The sequence below is a fragment of the Homo sapiens genome, chromosome 6, assembly GCF_000001405.40.
Source record: "Homo sapiens chromosome 6, GRCh38.p14 Primary Assembly".
Lineage (NCBI taxonomy): Eukaryota > Metazoa > Chordata > Mammalia > Primates > Hominidae > Homo > Homo sapiens.
Window position 1 is genome coordinate 3,070,205 of NC_000006.12, and position 20,416 is coordinate 3,090,620.

Here is a 20,416-nt window from a genome sequence, read left to right on the forward strand (position 1 = left end):
TGTGAATATTAATGAGTATTAAGAAAAGCTCTTAAACAGCCTCTTTCAAACTGGGCAGCTTACTTTTTGGTGCTTATTAATCTATAACGTGTTAACATCCATATGATCTGGGAATTTGAAGAAAATACTTAATTTCCCATGCTTTAGTTGGATATTACATTCTGGCAAAAAAGGTTGACTGTATTAATCTGTAGAACATTGATTTTGAACCATATATTTCAAAAATACATGAGCCGTGTATTTTTATTTTTGAGACAGAGTCTTGCTCTGTCACCCAGGCTGGAGTGCAGTGGCGCGATCGCGGCTTAATGTAACCTTCGCCTCCCGGGTTCAAGCAGTTCTCCTGCCTCAGCCTCCCAAGAAGCTGGGATTGTAGGCATGCACTACCATGCCTGGCTAATTTTTGTATTTTTAGTAGAGACAGGGCTTCACCACGTTGGCCAATCTGGTCTCAAACTCTTGGCAATCTGCCCTCCTTGGCCTCCCAAAGTGCTGGGATTACAGGCATGAGCCCCTGCACCTCACCTTCCTGTATTTAAAAAGTTTATTCTGTACTTTCTCCGTGTTTCTGACTGTCGCACATTTATTTAATATAGATGAGTAAGGCTGTAAGGGTGGGTCTTTGCATCTGGATTTTTCCGAAGACAGATTATTTGCTATCTAGAGAAGTAGCATGTATTAGTGAGCCAATAGTGAAAGTTTGAATGAAGGGACAAATATTTCATTCCAGGATCCTACCACTTTAGGTGAATCACTTAGCTCCAAATCTTAGTTTCTTTATTTGCAAATTGAAATCATGATAAAATTTGCTTCAGGGGTTATGATGCTTGTTTAAACTCTGTTTCAATTCTTGTCTCTTGCTGGTCCTTAAGTCTCTTCCTTGCTCAGAGCTTTTGTTTATCCAGGCAAAGCATCAGGCTGCTGTAATCAAGGAAGTTGGAGAAATCCTCTGGTCACTTGGATAGCTGAGCAAAATCAGAATTCTGTTAGTGGGAAGAAAGGGGGCAATGGCAGGTGGGCAACCAGCATTTTCTGCCATTCTCTTGTTATGTGTGGTCATCATAGAAAAATGGGGAAAAAGTTAATTAGAATATTTTGATATGTATACTTACCCTGCCTTAGAAGGTAATCGTGAAATTCCTTGAGATTTCACATTAATTTCAATAGAAACAAATTCACTGTCCTGAGTCCCTGAATTAATATTTATGCAAAACATTTACAAATTCCTTCAAATGGACGTAATTATTAGTTAAAATTATTTGCTATAACAGGCCAGCATGTCTTTGTCACTCTGTGTCATGGCTTTGTAATAATATGGTTATGCAGTATGGCCATATAAGCTGCCTAAATTCACTGTTTTTGTATATCCTTCAACTACTCACAAGGCCTTCCTAAGATATTCAGTGCTCATAAAGTTGAATCTTTCATGTGGAAAAAAGAGGGGTGGATAGGAAAAACAAAAGAAATCACTGAACACCATGCAGAAGATGCAGAAGATTAACAGACTAAACTAGCAAACCGCAAGACTGTAAGGAGAACTGACTTGGGTCAGGAGCTAAGCTCCCAAAGTCCAGTGGACCCAACTAGAGGCCTTCCCAAACTCCACCGCACACAGCAGCACCTGCAGGTCCTAGTTGGTCTTGACAAATTTGAGGAGATGTGGCTGAGACTGAAGAAGAGATACCAAATAGGACTCCTCATAAAGTAGAAACCTTTTACTCAAAAGGGCATTTTTCAGGGCATGTTGTAGTTCCTGCCTGTTTCTTTACTGTCTGTGACCTTTTTTAAATATTATTAAACATTCTTTCACAACATCGCTTTTGCAAACTGCTAGATATATTTCAGTGTTGATGGGCATAACTGATTCTCTCCTCTGTACATGCTAAGTGTTTTACCTACTTTTGCTGTTCTATGTAATGCTACCAGGAACAGCTTTGCACATAATCTTTATCAGCATCTCTGATTTGATCCCTCAGAGTAAAGAAATACTGAGTCAAGGAATTATTCCTTTCAAAAAAATAATTTTAATTTTACATTTAATTCATGTCTATTGTGGAAAATTTGGAAAACATAGTAAAAGTGTAAAGAAGAAAGTAAAAATCAACCTATCATCAAGATACAATCCTTGTTAACATTTTGGTGTCTTTATGTCTTTTTTATCTGTACTTATATCTTTATCTATTTACATATATATATATATAAAACACACACAAATGTGAATATAATTTTTACAGATTTATTCGTCAAAAACAATTTTGAATGGCTATATAATATTCTGTTAGGAGTGTGCCGTAATTCATTTAACAATATTTTTATTTTTATTTTTTTGGACAATTAAATAGTTCTCTTTTTAAAATAGTTATTCAATTGATGATGGGCCGGCATACGTTGGGTTCTGCTAGGCTCTGGAGATGGTGCACAAGACAAGTTTCCTGCCTTCTGTGAACTTCATGAGAAATAATTCTCAATTACAGTACTGTCTTACCTATGGAAGTGTCTAATGGGAAGACTTAGGATGGCTTCCTTGACAAAATGACAGTTCTCTGACACCTAACCAGGCAAGAAGTTGGAAGAATATGGCCTAAGAGGGTGGGGCGGATGACCCTTATGGAATGGGGAAGGCTTCACAGTTCTGCCTGCTCCAGTGATGTGTAGTGAATGAAAAAGGAGGCCTAAAATCAATGTTATCTTTTATGCCCTCTGTCTCCACCCGCTCCTACCTCATTCTCACTAGGATTGGTCAGTAGGGCCCTGCTGACAGAGTGATCCCAGCTGAGAATGTTGGCATTCTCAAAGCCCAAGGAAACAACACCCGTGTGGATAAACACATGTGGGCGGCTGGGCCAACCATAGCTAGAGACATAAAGCAGGCAACAAACGTGTTTTCACAAATATATACATATGTACATATATACGCATATACAAATATATACATATACGTATATACACATAGACAAATATAGCTATATATCTACATATACAATATATGCATACACACATACAAATATGTGTATATATACACACATATACATTTTTATATCATATATTATATATTACATATATACATATACAAATATATGTATATTTATACGTATACATACATGAACGTATACTTTTTTTTTCTCATAATCCTTACCACTTCTGTGAGGTGGTCATTATTGTTTCACTTTGCAGATGAGGAAACTGAGGCATAAGTAAGTGCCCCAAGGTCACAGGTTGGTGAGTCACAGAGCTAGAGTTCACGCTCATAGTGGAGGGCCCGTGCTCTCGGAGCTATGGCTCCTGGTCTCTTACCTCACGCGTGTGCCTCACCCCACCCCTCAGTCTTCAGGCCTTCATCTAGGCAGCCCCCCGCCTCCACCCACTGCCCACGTCCCACCGATGTAGTTGTTTCCTGAGGCACTTCTCTTGTTTGGTAATGTCTTATGTCCTAGGAAAGAAGGCCCATAGGTGCTGCTGTATGAGCTTCCTCCGCTAGACAGAGCTGGCCCCAGCCTTTAGATGAGGTGTAGAAGGCTGGTTACCCGGGTCACCTGTAGCCGGCCACTGTGCAACACCATGGGCAGCCTAGGAGTTTCCAGAGTCCCCTCTCCCCAAGGTATTTCTTTTTTCATTTTTTAACTCCCTGCCCTCCAACATTTTATTATGAAAAACACCAAGTCTGAAGGTTACGTCCACCACGACTATCGTCTTAACACCGCTTGCTTCATCGTGTAATTCTCCATCTCCTTTCCCGTCATCTGTCCGTCATTGTCTGACTTTTTGATGTATTTCCAAGTACACATCAGTACACATCTCGAAATACTTCAGCATGCATACCATAGCTAGAGTTCAATATGTTTACAGGTTTGTCTTTTGATGTAAAATTTACCTGCTGTTGTTGGGAGTACATCTGCTGAGTATGGGCAGATGCGTATGCCTGCAACCCTAGCCCCCGTTGATATCCTACAACATTATCATCACCCCAGAAAGTTCCTTCATGCCCCTGCCCACTCAGCCTCACCGTGCTCACAGGCGGCCAGTGTTCTTTTTCTGACACAGATTGGTTTTGACTTCTGAACCGTCATATAAATAGAATTACATAGTATGTATGCTTTTGTATAAGGCGACTTTCACTTATCACGTTTTTGCATTTCGTTCATGCGGTTTTCATTCATGTGTATCAGTAGTTCATTTTTATTGCTGAGTAGTATCCCATCGTGTTCATACACCAGTGTGTTCACTCATTCTCTTACTGATGGGCAGCTGTTTCCAGTTTGGAGCTATTATAAATAAAGTTGCTATGAACATTTTACAAGTGTTTTCCAACATACGTTTTCATTTCTCTTGGGATTGGAATTGCTGGGTCATAGTGCAGGTGTTTGTGGTTTTATAAACAAAATAAATGCCTATGAAATTTCAATGAATATTTTATGCCCCAGAAAGAGTATTTTTCATGGTCTGTATCTGGATGTAGATATTTATTATTTTATTTTATTTTAATTTTTTTGAGACAGAGTCTCACTTTGTTGCCCAAGCTGGAGTGCAGTGAGTGGCATGCGATCTCGGCTCACTGCAACCTCCGCCTCCCAAATTTAAGCAATTCTCCTGCCTCAGCCTCCTGAGTAGCTGGGATTAGAGGCGCGTGCCACCACGCCTGGCTGATTTTTGTATTTTTAGTAGAGACGGGGTTTCACCATGTTGGCCAGGCTGGTCTTGAACTCCTGACCTCGTGATCCGCCCGCCTCAGCCTCCCAAAGTGCTGGGATTACAGACGTGAGCCACGGCGCCCAGCCGGGATGTGGGTATTTCTGGAATACAAAACATCCATAGCCCTCCTTTTACTCTCAAAGCAAAACACAGACACGCACATTCACATGCACACACCAGTGTGTCCGTGTCCTGTTGGTTTGCATGGAGTTTCTGTTTTGCCACGAAGCTTTTTGCCAGCCCTTTTCCCAAAGTGTTTGTACCATTTTATACTCCCACCAGTGATGTTTGAGAGGTCTGGTTGCTTCACATGTTTGCCAGTGTTTGGTGTATTAGTCTTTTTAGTTTTGGATATCCTGGTAGTTGTGTAGTGGTGTCTCCTTGTGGTTCTCCATGGGTTTTTATTCTATATTTCAGTTTGGGGAAAATGAATGAATGGAAGAAAAGAAGGGAGGAAGGATGAAGCAAATAGCTGTGCTTTGAGATCTGACACTGTATACTTCACAGCCCTGATGGACATTCTCCAAATTCTACTCCTTTTTCACATTTTCTTCTTAGAGTTTGCATTGTTCTTTTTATATTCTTCAGATTCCTTCTTTTGTTCATAATTACTTAAACCTATTCATTTTCTAATGCCTTTCAGTTGTTAATTTACTGAAGTTCTTTGGTGCTTACTAGTGCTGCTTGCTGTAGCTGCAGGGTCTGTCTCACAGTGAATTTTTTCTTTTGTGTTTTATAATTTTGGAAAGGGAGCTCATGTTAAATTTGTATTTGTAGGAATTCTGTCTGGCCTGGCTTGAGGTTGTTGTTTGCTTTAGCCTATAACCTCAGGATGGCATCAGCCTGTGACCACTTCCTGTGTAAAAGTTCATAGTTTAGGCGATCCTCTCAATTCAAAGTCTGTATCTATTTCAAGACAGGCCCAAGGTTATAAATTTGCACAAACTTTTTTTTTTTTTTTTTAATACCTTGTGCCCAGTCCAAGACAAATATGTTTGTTTGCCATGGGCTGCTTTTTTTCTAGTTCATCCTTTCATCAAAGGGTTGCACATTGAGCAGTGCCGTGTTAAGGGGGGATTCTTCATTCTACCTTCTTTTCTTGTATTCCTTGACCTCAGCTGGGCTTTAAACCTTGACTTCTGGATGGCGAGGTTGGCACTCCCCTGTGTGAGCTACTGCCTGCCTCCGGTGCTCTGTTTCTGTCCCTAGAGTTCTTTTCCTTTCCACGGAGTTTTGGTATGCATTTCAATGAATGTTTGTATTATGTTGTCCAACATACTTGTGTCCTTTATAGCTGGAGGGTTCTTAAAATTTTCTAATGCTCCATATTGCCAGAAATAAAAAGGCTGAGGGAATAAATATTATAGTCTTCTCTGATTCTTAAAAATATGAAAAATAGCTCATCAGATGACTGTAAGTCTATCCTCAGAAATCCAAGGCACACCAAGCATGTGGTGGAATGTTAACAAAAGTTTTTAAAAATGATCTTTTCTGCCAGGTACAATGGCTCACACCTGTAATCTCAGCACTTTGGGAGGCTGAGGTGGGAGGATCCCTTGATCTTAGGAGTTTGAGACCAGCCTGGGCAACATAGTGAGATCCCCCGGCCCCCCCATCTCTACAAATAATTAAAAAATCAGCTGGTCACGGTGGGGTGCACCTGTGGTCCCAGCTACTCAAGGAGGCTGAGGGAGGAGGATTGCCTGAGCCCAGGAGGTCGAGGCTCCAGTGAGCTATGATTGTGCCACTGCACTCCAGCCTGACTGACAAAGTGAGACCCTGTCTCCAAAGGAGAAAAAAAAAAACATATATATATATATATATATATATATAGTCTTGCCCTGAGGTTTTCTCTCTGTTTTCTTTACAGGGTACAGCTCTGCCGGGGGGGGAAAAAGTGGTACCATTTTGGGCGTTCTTGAGCTTCAGAATGCAACCAGACATGTCCTTGAATGTCATTAAGATGAAATCCAGTGACTTCCTGGAGAGTGCAGAACTGGACAGCGGAGGCTTTGGGAAGGTGTCTCTGTGTTTCCACAGAACCCAGGGACTCATGATCATGAAAACAGTGTACAAGGGGCCCAACTGCATTGAGTGAGTAGGGAGCAGGGGTGGGTGGGCTAAGTTCTGAGCGGGATGGGGACGTTGGCTGTTGTGGAGCCGTTGGCTGCTGCGGAGCCGTTGGTGGGTAGAGTGAGAGGGAGCCTGCCAAGATGTCAGGGTGACGATGGCTCTTCGGATTGTTATTGTCGCTGATGTGGACTCTGAGACTGGGTAGTGAAGGACTCTCACAGCTGGTAAGTAACAGAAGAGACATGAACAAGAAGGAAATAGAGAAAGACAAAGAGATAAGTGTGGTGGGGGGACAATGAAAAGGAAACAGGAGGATGGGTGAAGACAGACCTATTCACTCGCTTCACATTTTCAGTGAGGACCAGCCCTAAGTATAAAAATGAAAAGGCAGTTCATTCCTGAGAGGTTCTGAGAGCCTTCCCTTTAAAGCAACCAGTAGAGTGGTTTCACCTCTCTCCCTCCTTTGTCAGAGTGGTTTTGAGAGAGGCTGTTTTTTTTTTTTTTAATCGTTCTGTCCAGCACGGTCTTTTTTCAGGTTACCTTGCTGCTGTTCATGTACTTTTCATTCATTGATTCATTCATTCCTTCATTGATTTACATTTTTGGAGCATGCACTGCCAGTTACTGGGCAGGAGTACTGTGAGGAAGTGAGAAACCGCTCTGCCTTCTAACGCTTCTGGCCTGTGCCTGGAAGAGATCGGTACAGACCCAAGCATGACCCCAGCACGTGGGAGTGATGTGTTGGAGGTGTGCACCAGGCTCTTGAGGCGCTGGCTCTGCCAGCCTCAGCATAGCACCTTTCCTGCCCACAGGCACAACGAGGCCCTCTTGGAGGAGGCGAAGATGATGAACAGACTGAGACACAGCCGGGTGGTGAAGCTCCTGGGCGTCATCATAGAGGAAGGGAAGTACTCCCTGGTGATGGAGTACATGGAGAAGGGCAACCTGATGCACGTGCTGAAAGCCGAGGTAGAGAGGGCCCCTCCGCACGGGGATCCCCAGCGCTTGGGCCCTGGCTGTCTGTTATGGCTCCCCTTGGGGTGTTTGTTTGCAGCTCGTTAGCATCAAATTTGCAAATTGCTTGGTAGTTTGAATTTTCTTTTCCTTTTTTTATAGAGACAAGGTCTTGCTATGTTGCCCAGGCTGAACTCCAACACCTGGTCTCAAGTGATCCTCCCACCTCAGCCTCTCAAGTAGCTGGGATTACAGGCTGGATTTCCTGAAGTCAGTTTCTCCTTAAAACATCTATGCCTTGATTGGGCTCCGTGGGTCACTTCTGTAATCTCAGCACTTTTGGCAGGAGGATCACTTGAGCCTTGGTGCTCAAGACCAGCCTGGATAACACAGTGAAATCCCCTCTCTACAAAAAATAAAAGGTGCATGTGAACAGAGCAAGACCCTGTCTCTGAAAAAAAGAGAAAATCTTCCTTGCCTTTTACTGCCCTGAGAGTGGTCTCTTCATCCTCTCGATCCTGTGGACAGTCCTCCATAGTCTGTGTCTTAGGAATGTGATTGGCTGTTTACCATACCTGTCCGCTGCTCTGCAATCTACAGTTCAGAGACAAGCCCTGTCTTCATGATGCAGACATCATCTGATGTAGAGTATATGCATGATGGGATGACATTAAATATGGATTAATGAAAGGATATACACTATAAATGACCGTGAGAGCAGATAGAATATTAGTGGTTGCACTTTGATACCATTCAACAAAGTTTTATTTTAAATTAAATATAGAAATTATTGGCAACAACACTGGATAGGATTTAAAACAAAAATAAAAATTGTTTACCAAAGTCAAATGATTTGAAAACATTTTTAAAAGCTTATGTGCCTGTTAAGATGAAGGCCTTGCGCTAGTTGCTCATGAATCAATAGCTAATATGACGTAGGAGAGTAAAAGGAGGCAGATAGCTAAATAAGTGGTATGGTGTGATGGGGTTTTTTTTTTTTCTTTTGTAAGAGAACAAGGTCTCACTGTGTTGCCCAGGCTGGAGTGCAGTGGCACAATCATAGTGCACTGCAGGCTTGAACTCCTGGCCTTAAATGATCCTCTCACCTCAGCCTCCTGAGTAGCTGGGACTATGGGCATGAGCCACTGCACCCAGCTGTGTGGTGGTATTTTTTTTTTTAGAGGAGTCTCGCTCTGTCGCCCAGGCTGGAGTGCAATGGTGCAATCTCGGCTCACTGCAACCTCCACCTCCCTGGTTCAAGCAACTCTCCTGCCTCAGCCTCTTGAGTAGCTGGGATTACAGGCGCCTACCACCATGCCTGGCTATTTTTTTAATTTTTAGTAGAGACAAGTTTTCACCATGTTGGTCAGGCTGGTCTCGAACTCCTGACCTCGTGATCCGACTGCCTTGGCCTCCCGAAGTTCTGGGATTACAGGCATGAGCCACCGTTCCCAGCTGATGGTGTTTTGATAGACATACTCATTGCTGAGGGAGTACACATGAGAGGCACCCACTCAGCCTGGAATAGACAGAAAAGGCTTCCAATGTGAAGGACATGTAGACGTTTTGAAGCAGAGAATTAGAGAACAAGTGTTCTAGGCAGAGAGAATACCATGTAGAGACTGCCAAATTTGGGGAACTGTAAATTCCTGGGTTTGGCTAGAGCATAGATTGCACAGGGTATGGGGAGGGGTGGCGGGATATGGCTGCCTTTATGGCAAATACTCCCACTTTTCCACTTTCTTCTCCCACCCCACAATTGCCAAGCCAACAGACATCTCACAAAAATACCCTTGGGAAGGAGAAGAGGTGATCACTTATACGCATGGTATTATAGTTTGATCAGATTGCTCTCCACCCCAGAACTAGAGAAGATCAGCTGTTTGAAGTAAACATTTTGATTGGGAAATAAGTCTTTGGTCTCCCATCCAAGTACTAACCAGGCCCAACCCTGCTTAGCTTCTGAGATGAGAGAGAAATCATTGGGGACATGAGGCATTGTGCAAGATGAGGGAAAGTTCAGGTGCACCTGTTTGGACTCAGTCAGGGCATCAGGAGGACCTGAGAGAGAAGCAGAAAGAGAGGAGAGAGGGGGACCAACTTTGCTTACTCAGAAGTTTTTCCTAAGTCCAAAGGTATACCAAGGAAGAAGAGAAAACATCTTTTCTGCTACTTTCTGTATGGTGGTGATCAAGCTATTAACAGTGTAGCTCTGCTACGTTATGTCATAAATATGGTTTGAGGGGGAATCTCACTTCTATCATTAAAATTTTTTTCCTGTTAACCAACGACCAAAATACATATACATTTTTAGGAAACATCTTGTTTGTATACTGATTTTTTATTGTTAAGCAAAACTGTAATTTAACCACTATAATAGAAACTGGAATTGTTTCTGTTAGTATTGATGCTCACATAACAAGAATACAATTATAAGAACCAGTGACCTGAGACTCTACAGAAGCCTGAAGTATCTGCTACCAGGTCATCAAATAGATATTAATTCACTTAAGCGTAGTTTTAACATCATGTTTATCTCAGATTTTTCTATGATTGTAATCAGTGTGAACATGTTCCCTTGTATTCTTTTTTCTCTTAATGTTATTTTACACGCGACATTTGCATGGCATTGTTCATGTCCTTAATGTAAACTTAGTATGATGTCGTGTGAGTATCCCACAGAAACTGCTTGCTCGTATATTTATTCATCCATTCATTCAACAAGCATTCCAGGTACAATCCTAGGTTCTAAAGATACAGTCCTAAATAATATATATTTTTGTTCTCAAGGAGCTTAATTTTATAGTATTTTATGCATTACCAAATTATTGTGGGATTTTTGTTTTTACACTAACAAAATACAACACGAATACCCTCTGCCCCCCCCCGAATGAAATCTTTCTTGTTTCCCAGTGACAGCAGTACTGTGGTGCACCTGCTGGAAGGAAACCTGGTAACCTTCTCCTCAGGCTCAGATCCCACCACCCTTTCATGAAACAGTTGCTTTGGCCTATTTGATAACCTTTCCATTTCATAGACTTAATATCACTTGTTTTAGATGAGTACTCCGCTTTCTGTAAAAGGAAGGATAATTTTGGAAATCATTGAAGGAATGTGCTACTTACATGGAAAAGGCGTGATACACAAGGACCTGAAGCCTGAAAATATCCTTGTTGATAATGACTTCCACATTAAGGTAAACCATCATCGGTAGGCTTCCAGAAAGTTGGGTGATTTTAGTTTTAATTCTCCAATGTAAATCCATTCTCGTACATTGGAGAAGCTAAAGGAAGACCTAGCTCAGCTTATAACTGTTGATGATGGTGCCGAAAGGCTCTACCGGTGATTGAGAGGAAGGCTGCAGGCTTGATGGGATCAGGAGATAACTGTCAGGATAACTCATATCTTTTGGGGGAGGAGTGGAGTTGAATGGGGTAGATGAGAAGACCTCTTTCCTAGACTGTGTTTTTTCCTCTGTTAGAAACATTTAGAAACATTCAAGGGTTGCCCTTTTCATCCTGGAATGGGCCATTGGTGTCATAATGTTCTCCAGGAAATCTGTGTCACCAAGACTCTCCTCCTCTGGAAATGCAGGGGAATGTGAAGGTGTGTGCGGAAAATCCTTAGAGTTCAGATATGGCCTAAGAGTGAGATCAGCGGCCGGGTGCAGTGGCCCACGCCTGTTATCTCAGCACTTTGGGAGGCTGAGGTGGGCGGATCACCTGAGGTCGGGAGTTCGAGACCAGCCTGACCAACATGGAGAAACCCCATCTCTACTGAAAATACAAAATCAGCCGGGCGTGGTGGTGCATGCCTGTAATTCCAGCTACTCGGGAGGCTGGGGCAGGAGAATCGCCTGAACCGGGGAGGTGGAGGTTGTGGTGAGCCGAGATTGTGCCATCGCACTCCAGCCTGGGCAACAAGAGCGAAACTCTGCCTTAAAAAAAAAAAAAAAAAAAAAAAAAAAAAAAAAAAAAAAAAAAAATCAGCAGTGCATCAAAAACCTCTACTTTGAAATTTTGTTTTATATTTGTATTCGATTGTTTACTTCTGTCTGTATTTTAAAAATCAGTTTCCTTTGAACACATTCTTTCCATTGTCGTAAAGGGAACAAGGGAAAGGGATTTTTCTTTTGTTCATTCAAGGGCAGGATTTAGCTAGGGGGAGTGTCATATCTAATTGGCTTCTGCAGCAGGAATCCAAGCACAAGAATCCAAAAGGGGAAGCGGAAGGGGAAGCAGCCCTGGGGGAGGCACCCAGGAGCTGCTGACACAGGGGCCTCTCATCACCAGCAGGTTCTGCGTCTAGCGCTTTGTCCTAGTCTTGGACAAAGGGCTGGGAATAAAAATTCCTTATTCATAACCTATCTTCAAATTCATGACTTCCCTCTTATGTCGTGGGTTAGAATCTGTGAATTTTAGGTACTCATGTGCCACAGTTCATCCCCACATGCTTGCTTGGATTCCTGGAGGCAGAAGTGGAACTGGCACCTATATTCTCTTCTGAACTGTGCTGCCCTGTCATTTTGCCCTGCCAGCACTGTTCTTGTTCTGTGTCTGACCTTGCTATTTTTCTCTCTGCTTTTTTGTCTGTTTTTCTCCTCCTTTCCACCCTATCTCCTCTTAGGTTCAGGCTACAGCTCAAAACAAGCAACACTGCAGTCCTTATCCTCAGTGTGTCTTTGGGATCCTTGGACACTTGCATCCATGGGCCTCTGGACGCCATTTGGGGAAATAGAAGGTGTAGTATTTAGCCACTGTCTGCTGCATAAATGTGCAGAGAAGAAAATAACCATTTTCCCCCCAAGCCCTAGAAATAGTTGAAAAACATACGCAGAGTCAATGGGGAATGAGAATAAATATGTTTGGTTGTTACTGTTCTTGTCAGAAACATCTTCCGCTTTTCCCCTCCCCCTTACTGCATAAGGAATACGATACCAGAATTTCATGTGAACGTTTCCTGGGCGACATTTTACAAATGGCTGAGGAGACACACAGTTTCTATGAGTCTGTTGAGAAGTCGCTGTTTTGAACCTGCCCAGTGCAACCATTTCTGGAAAATTTACCGTACCTTATGTATAATGGATAAGCCCAAAATTGAAAGTCAGATCTGATTTGCTTACGGCCTTCACCAAACAATCCCAGTGGCTCAATGTCTTTCGCAGATCGCAGACCTCGGCCTTGCCTCCTTTAAGATGTGGAGCAAACTGAATAATGAAGAGCACAATGAGCTGAGGGAAGTGGACGGCACCGCTAAGAAGAATGGCGGCACCCTCTACTACATGGCGCCCGAGCACCTGAATGACGTCAACGCAAAGCCCACAGAGAAGTCGGATGTGTACAGCTTTGCTGTAGTACTCTGGGCGATATTTGCAAATAAGGAGCCATATGAAAGTAAGGCATTACTTACTTTCCACTGCCGTCCCCTCAGCATCTACACGCACTGTGCCTGGAACTAATAGGTGCCCAGTAAATTTTTGTTGAATGAATGAGTAATCCCATTTAGGAATCAGTGATCATAGGATGAATAGGAACCTCGATAGTGTGTCATTAGCTGGAGAGGTGCTGTGAAATTCCAGGGTTCTTCCTAGACAGGAAAGTTGATTGTTTCTGCTTGTGAGGACTTAGCCTTTCACACTACAAGGCATACACTTCATACTTTCACTCATTCACTTGCTCCTTCATTCAAGAATTATTTCTTTTCAGTCCCTACTGTGGGCACTTGAGTCGGCATTGGGAATATAAAGATGAGTAAGTCGTGGCTTGTGTAGGATAGAGACACTCTGCAGTTTGTTAAGTGCATAAACTGATGGATGTTGTCCTACATACTCTTCTTGGGTGATCATCAGCTCCCATGGTTTGATGATCATCTCTTTGCAAATGCTTCTTAAATCTGTGTCTCTGGCTCTGGAATGGATATCCACTTGTCTTACAGTCAGATCCATCGCAGGTACCAGAGGAACCTCCAAAGCAGCATCCCCCAAACACATCCTGTCGACACTGTCCTGCAGCTCGCCCCGCTTCACCCCTCTTCATATGCTTGGGAAGTGGCATCGCCATCCTTTTACCAAGTTGTTGCCCAATAAGAAACTTCAGAGTCATCCCAGACTCGCCCTTGCCCCTCTCTCCCACATTCTATCAGATCTCAAAACCTGTGAATTCAAGATATATGTATGACTCAAGATATATCTGCAACCCATCTGCCTTTCTCTGTCTCCACTGGCCTCTGCTCAGTTCAAACCCTCCTCGTTTCTGCAGCAGGCTCCTTCCACCGTCCACCATTCATGTGGCAGCCAAAATGGTCGTCCTAAAAGGCACATGCAACCCTCTCCCTCACATATTGGAAATCCTTCCCAGATGCTCTGTGGTCTTCAGGATGAAGTTCGAATTCCTCAGCGTGGAATAAAAGGCCTTCATGTTCTGGCCTTTGCTTCTCTACTGGCCTCGTCCCTAACCCTCCCTTCTTTGTCAGTGTGCAGTTACACTGAGGAATTTGTGGGATGCGTCATGATCTCTGTAACTTCTAGTCTGTTGATATCCTGCTTCTCTTCCTGGAGTCCTCCTCCTTAAGTCTCCCTTTCCCATTCTTTACCTGCTAATTTTTCTGGACTCAACAAAGCCTTCCTGGACCTTTTTAGTCAGGTTTGTGCTACTGGAACCCCTTGTACATCCTTTTTTTTTTTTTTTTCCCGTGAGACAGAGTCTCATTCTGTCGCCAGGTTGGAGTGCAGTGGTGCAGTCTCGGCTCACTGCAGCCTCCACCTCCCAGGTTCAAGCAATTCTTCTGCCTCAGCCTCCCGAGTAGCTGGGACTACAGGTGCACACCACCATGCCCAGCTAATTTTTATATTTTTAGTAGAGACGGGGTTTCACCATGTTGGCCAGGATGGTCTTGATCTCTTGACGTCATGATCCGCCTGTCTCAACCTCCCAAAGTGCTGGGATTACAGGTGTGATCCACCATGCCCAGCCTCAGCCTTCTTGAATAGCAATGATCACTCTGTGTTTTAAGTCACTCTCATTAAACTGAGCTCCTAAAGACAAGGACTGCCCTGTATTTGCTTTTGCACATGGAGCATGCCATTGGCCTTGCCCACATAATCTTTTTGTTCCATCAGCAGGCAGCTTTGTCGAGAATTTTGTTTTATCTGCAGACATTAAGATATTGTTTGGTCATCTCTGTAGTGGAATATGTCAGCTCCTTGTCATAAGGCCATTCCACTCTATGGAATGAGGCAGCTGTACCAGAGGCTGAGAAAAATGAGCAGTATTGTTCAAGTTCTGTCACCTTCCTGCCTGAGAGAGGAGCAAGACCTGAAAGAAAGTCTTTGCTTTGTAGATGCTATCTGTGAGCAGCAGTTGATAATGTGCATAAAATCTGGGAACAGGCCAGATGTGGATGACATCACTGAGTACTGCCCAAGAGAAATTATCAGTCTCATGAAGCTCTGCTGGGAAGCGAATCCGGAAGCTCGGCCGACATTTCCTGGTAAGAGCATCTTTTCTGACTGTGTAGGATGCATCCTGTGTGGTGATTTTCCTAGTAACATATTGTTAGGAACTTGGTTTGAATCCTCAGAAAACTGAGTTCGACTTGACTTGTGGTTTTAAACTGATTTTCTAGATTTCAAACATGTTATTCAGTGCAAAGAAGCCCTCTCTCTCAAAAGCATGATGGCACATAAGGCCTTCTTGTTTCCTTTTTTTGTAATTAACTTTTTAACTTGGGTTTAAATATACGTAACATGAAATTTAACATTGTAACTGTTTTCAAGTGCACTGTTCAGGGGCAGTAAGTACAGTCCCATAGTACATTCACTTTCCATCGTCTCTCTCCCTGCCCCTGGCAGCCCCTATCCTACTTTCTGTCTCTGTGAATTTAACTGCACTGGGTGCCTTATATATAAGTGGAATCATACAGTATTTGTCCTTTTGTGTCTGGCTTACTCCACTTGGCATGATGTCCTCGAGGTTCATCTGTGTTGTAGCATATGTCAGAATTTCTTTCCTTTTCAAGGCTGAATAATATTCCATTGTATGAATGGAGTGCATTTTGTTTATCCATTCGTCCGTCTATGGGCACTTAGGTGGCTTTGACCAGCCTTCTTGCTTCTTCACTTCTTTTATTTCCATCCCCTCCCTTGTTTAGCTGGCATCTTTAGAAAGTATTTTGCCGTCTAGATTGGCCTTGTCATACAGGGATGAGGAAAGGTGCCGGGATGTTTGCTGAGCAGTATTCTATGGTGTGGATGTACCACGGTTTGGTTAACTACTCACTCCTTGAAAGACTTGTTTCCAGTTCTTAACTGTTGGGACTAATGCAGCTGTAAATATTCGTGGACATGTTTTTGTGTGAATATAAGTCTTCATTTCTCTGGAGTAATACCCAGGGGTACAATAGCTAGGTTGTATGGTAGTTTCATGTACAGTTTATTTTAAAAATTCCCTAACATTTTCCCAGAGGGGCTGTGCCATTTTATGTTCGGTGTCCGAGTGATGCAGGTTCTTGTATCCTCACCAGCATGGGGTACCCAGGCTCCTCACACTTCTGCTTAGTCAGCTACAAATTTATTTGAGTATTCCCACAAGCCCCACTTCAGGTTTGGTAATTCGTTAGAAAGACTCACATAACTCAAGAAAACATTTTACTTACGTCTCCCCTTTTACTGCAGTGGGTACAATTCAGAAACAGCCAAATGGAAGAGATGTACAAGGTGAGGTATGGGAGGAGGGTGTATAGAACTTCCATAGCCTTTCAAGACACACCGCATTCCAGTGCTTCTGTGTGTTCAGCAACCTCAAGCTCTCCAAGCCTCACCGTTTAAGGTGATTTATGGAAGTTCCATTACATACGCATGACTGACTAAATCATGGTCATTGGTGCTTGAGCTTAATCTCCAGTCCCTCTCTCCTCACTGGAAGTCAAAGGTGGAGCTGAAAGTCCCAACCTTCTAATTATAGCTTGGTCTTTCTGGTTGCTAGCCCCCATTCTGAAGTTGCCTAGTTTTCTGACCCCACCCAAAAGACACTCTTAGAAGACTCCAAGGATTTTAGGTGCTACCTGCCATGAACAAAATCAAACCTTCCTGATTCTCCAAGGTGTCTTCTTTTATTGTTTCCTTTCTGTTTAGAGAACTTTCCTTAATCATTCTTTTAGGATATGTCTGAACTCTGTCATTCTAAAATTTTTTTCCTTATAGGGAAGGTGTTATTTTTCTCTTGCTGCTTTCAAGACTTTGTCTTTATTTTTCAGAGATTTAGTTGTTATTTATCTTGGTGTGGATTCCTTTGGGTTTATTCTGTTTAGGTTTTGCTCAGCTTCTTAAATCTGTAGGTTTATGCCTCTTAAACCATATTTGGGGAGCTTTCAGCCATTATTTCTGTAAGTACTTTTTAACCCCCACCCTCTTTCTCTTTTCTTTCTGGAATTCTGACAACATAAAAACTATATCTTTGGTTATGGTTATAGTCCCACAGGTCCCTGAGGCTTTGTGTTTTTTTTGTTTTTTTTGTTTTTGTTTGTTTTTTTCAGTTAATTTTCTCTCTCTTATTCAGACTGGGTAAGTTCTATCATTCTGTCTTCCAGTTCACTGATTTTTCTGTTTCTCCTCGATTCCACAGTTGAACCTGTCTACTGAGCTTTTTTTTTTTTTTGACACGGACTCTCACTCTGTCGCCCAGGTTGGAGTGCAGTGGCGCAAGCTCTGCCTCCTGGGTTCACGCCATTTTCCTGCCTCAGCCTCCCGAGTAGCTGGGACTACAGACACCCGCCACCACACCTGGCTAATTTTTTGTATTTTTAGTAGAGACGGGGTTTCACCGTGTTAGCCAGGATGGTCTCCATCTCCTGACCTTGTGATCAGCCCGCCTCGGCCTCCCAAAGTGTGGGATTACAGGTGTGAGCCACTGTGTCCGGCCTACCGAGCTTTTTATTATGTTTTGGTCATTAAAGTTTTCAGCTCTAAAATTTATATTCTCCCCTTTTTTGCTGAGACTTTCTATTTTTCATTTGTTTCAAGCAGGTTCATAACTATTAATTGAATCGTTTTTATCATGGCTGTTTTAAAATCCTTGACAGGTAATTCTGACATTGCTGTCATCTCAGTATTGGCATCTATTGATTGTCTTATTTCATTCAGTTTCTGATTCTTAATGTAATGGGTAATTTTTCTGTTGAAACTTGTACATTTTCTTCCTATGTTTGGAGATTCTGTATCCTCTTTAAGCCTTCTGTTTTAACTGAACTTTCCTGACACTGCTCTGACAAGGGAAGAGTGGTGGCCACCTTATTAGTGCTGGGTAGAGGTAGAAGTTCAGCCTCTCGACTCAGCCCTTATTGACACCTAAGGTCAGAGGCTCCTCTTCACTGCTGATCAGGGGTGGGAATTCTGGCAGAGTCCACACGGTCCCCACTGACACAGAGGTGAAGGTACCTCATTACTACTGGACAATGTTAAAAGTCCCGATTCTCCACTAGACCTCCTCTGACACTTCCCCAGTGGGGAAGGGAAGGGTGGTCTTGTTACTGCCATGTGGGGCAAATCCAGGCTATTCTTGTGTTCTCCTGACACCATGGGAGTGGAGGCGCTCATTATCAGCTGGCAGGTAGGACAGCCCTGGCTTCCTGTTGGGCCTTCTCTGACATTACCCCGGTGGGGGTGTTGGGTTACGTTGTTACTGTCTCATGCGGTTGGATGTTGAGGCTCTCCACTTGGCCTTAGCTGCTGTGGGTGGGGTTGGAGCCACAGGGTTTTTTCTGTGGTGGTTGGCTGGAACAGAGTGGTTGCTGACTAAAAGTTTTCTCCTATCCAAGTACTAACCAGACCTGACCCTGCCTAACTTCCAAGATCAGACAAGTTTGGGCATATTCAGGATGGCATGGCTGTAGACTGGCTAAAGGTTTTCTGTCTGTCCCTTGCTGCCCCTTGCTTAGTTCTTTGGCTAGAAAGAGCAGGCTTTAGTTGGAGATTTTTTTTTATCTGTGGCTCTTGATGGTTTGAGGTTGCCACCTTTTCAGCCAAGTCTGAGATATATGAGGAAAAGAGAAAATCCAGTGAACTCACTATCGTGTGTTTCATCTGATCCCGAGGTTTCCTGCTGGTCTGCCTCCTTCTCTTCTCCTTTCAGAGACTCTGTATGTTTGTTTTATAAATAATATATAGGATGTTTTTGTTGTACTTAGAAGGAAGATTAAGAAAAAAGTATGTCCACTCCATCTTCCTGGAACTGGAAGTTTCTTTTTTCTTTTAAGGCTAACAGCTGTAACCCATTACACTAAATCCTTCCTCTGACTATCCCAATCTCTCATAAATTTGATGCCAGAGGAACAGAAACATGGAGTTCGCCCATCCCTGTTCAGCTGGAGATGAACTCACATCAGGGAGCAGTTTGTGTTGCAGCCAGAGAAACTGCAGCACGAATAAAAAGCACAAAGAGCACAGGCTATTGAGGCAGAAACCCCTGGTTTCCTGTGTTAGCCTATCCCTTGTTCTGTCTATTAATCTTATTAGTCTCTATCAGAGTCAGTGATTTGGAGCTTAAATTTTTATTTAAGCTTTGCCCACAGATTGAGGTAAGTAATTCAAAGATAATAGATGGCTAATATTTTTATTTTATGTTAGAAAATAATTAAGAAATTTAAAGTACATTTTACTTTTACAGGCATTGAAGAAAAATTTAGGCCTTTTTATTTAAGTCAATTAGAAGAAAGTGTAGAAGAGGACGTGAAGAGTTTAAAGGTAGGCAATATAGCAGATGCTCAAAATATTAACATAGCAAAATATATACTGTCAATCATGAAAACCAAAACAAAGTGATTTGTTATTGAGATTTGAGGTAAGCTAGCTTGGTAAACATATAAAACAAAATGAGCAATTGTCTGCACATATCATCCTGTTGGCATACTGGACCCATTTCTCCTTCAAAACTCATGAAATGAGAGAAAACATATATAGCAATATGAAAACAAAAGCACAATGTCACTGGCAAAGATTGGAAAGTACCATAAGTGGATCAGCCATTTTGAGGAATTCTTGAAAGATAGAAAGACCACAGAATTATTCTGCTGAGACATATAACAGACAAGGAATACTAGCCCAAGACATAATGCTGAGGAAGAAGTACCGGAGGGGCAGTCTTGGGTCAGTGTGCAGAAGCAACAGCACAGTCACCTGGGATGTTGACAGGGGAGTCATCTGAGAACCTCATTTATGCTATTTAGGAAAGTCGGCTTCTCTCCCTCCTTCCCCTGTACTTAGCAACAGATGGCAGCAGCATCTGCCCAAGACTGAAGCAAGGAGGTGGTTTCTGGGGTTAGAGGGGCATGACAAGGCCCAGTTAGGAACCAATCAACTAAGAGGAATGGAGACCACCCCGCCCCCCTGCCAACTCTGGAATCAAGCTACTGCCATCCATCTTCCAGCAACCTACCCCATAATCATGAACAGGAGACTACGACAAATAAAACAGGCAGAGACTTTAAAATATAATTTAAAAAAGAGATTAGAATCAGCTAAGATAAACTCTAAGGCAAAAAATCATTCCCTCAAACAATCAGGAATATTTCATAATGATAAAAGGCCCAATTCATCTGGAAAGTATAACCGCTTTAAATGTGGATCCACCTTCAATAACATGACCTCAAAATCAACCAGCCAAAAGTGACAGAACTCAAAGAAAAACAGACAAATCCACAATTAAAA

General features: G+C 42.7%; 1 protein-coding gene and 1 pseudogene across 14 annotated transcripts in view, besides 2 other annotated features; one reads left to right on the forward strand and one right to left on the reverse strand.

The window, feature by feature from the left end:
- Positions 1-20,416, forward strand: part of RIPK1 (receptor interacting serine/threonine kinase 1) — a 51,221-nt gene that overhangs the window by 6,238 nt on the left and 24,567 nt on the right. For 8 of the 14 annotated variants that reach the window (XM_047419447.1, XM_047419448.1, NM_003804.6 and 5 more), the window contains 6 exons: positions 6,560-6,783; positions 7,575-7,731; positions 10,775-10,912; positions 12,881-13,109; positions 15,055-15,204; positions 19,377-19,453. In XM_047419447.1, the coding sequence (XP_047275403.1) occupies positions 6,620-6,783; positions 7,575-7,731; positions 10,775-10,912; positions 12,881-13,109; positions 15,055-15,204; positions 19,377-19,453 (915 nt within the window). In that variant the 5' untranslated portion in view covers positions 6,560-6,619. Of the gene's footprint in view, positions 1-3,434; positions 3,599-6,559; positions 6,784-7,574; positions 7,732-10,774; positions 10,913-11,730; positions 12,457-12,880; positions 13,110-15,054; positions 15,205-19,376; positions 19,454-20,416 lie in introns of those variants that run through there. The other 6 variants (NM_001354932.2, NM_001354934.2, NM_001354933.2 and 3 more) reach the window with 4 other exon arrangements.
- Positions 3,457-3,956: an enhancer, noted in NCBI's record as "H3K27ac hESC enhancer chr6:3073895-3074394 (GRCh37/hg19 assembly coordinates)". NCBI's record gives its function as "activates a minimal SCP1, AML or CMV promoter by ChIP-STARR-seq in naive H9 embryonic stem cells {active_cell/tissue: H9 hESC(naive)}" and the evidence as "EXISTENCE:reporter gene assay evidence [ECO:0000049][PMID:30033119]".
- Positions 7,151-8,125: an enhancer, noted in NCBI's record as "H3K27ac-H3K4me1 hESC enhancer chr6:3077589-3078563 (GRCh37/hg19 assembly coordinates)". NCBI's record gives its function as "activates a minimal SCP1, AML or CMV promoter by ChIP-STARR-seq in naive H9 embryonic stem cells {active_cell/tissue: H9 hESC(naive)}" and the evidence as "EXISTENCE:reporter gene assay evidence [ECO:0000049][PMID:30033119]".
- RNA5SP201 (RNA, 5S ribosomal pseudogene 201) lies at positions 18,482-18,605 on the reverse strand (annotated as a pseudogene).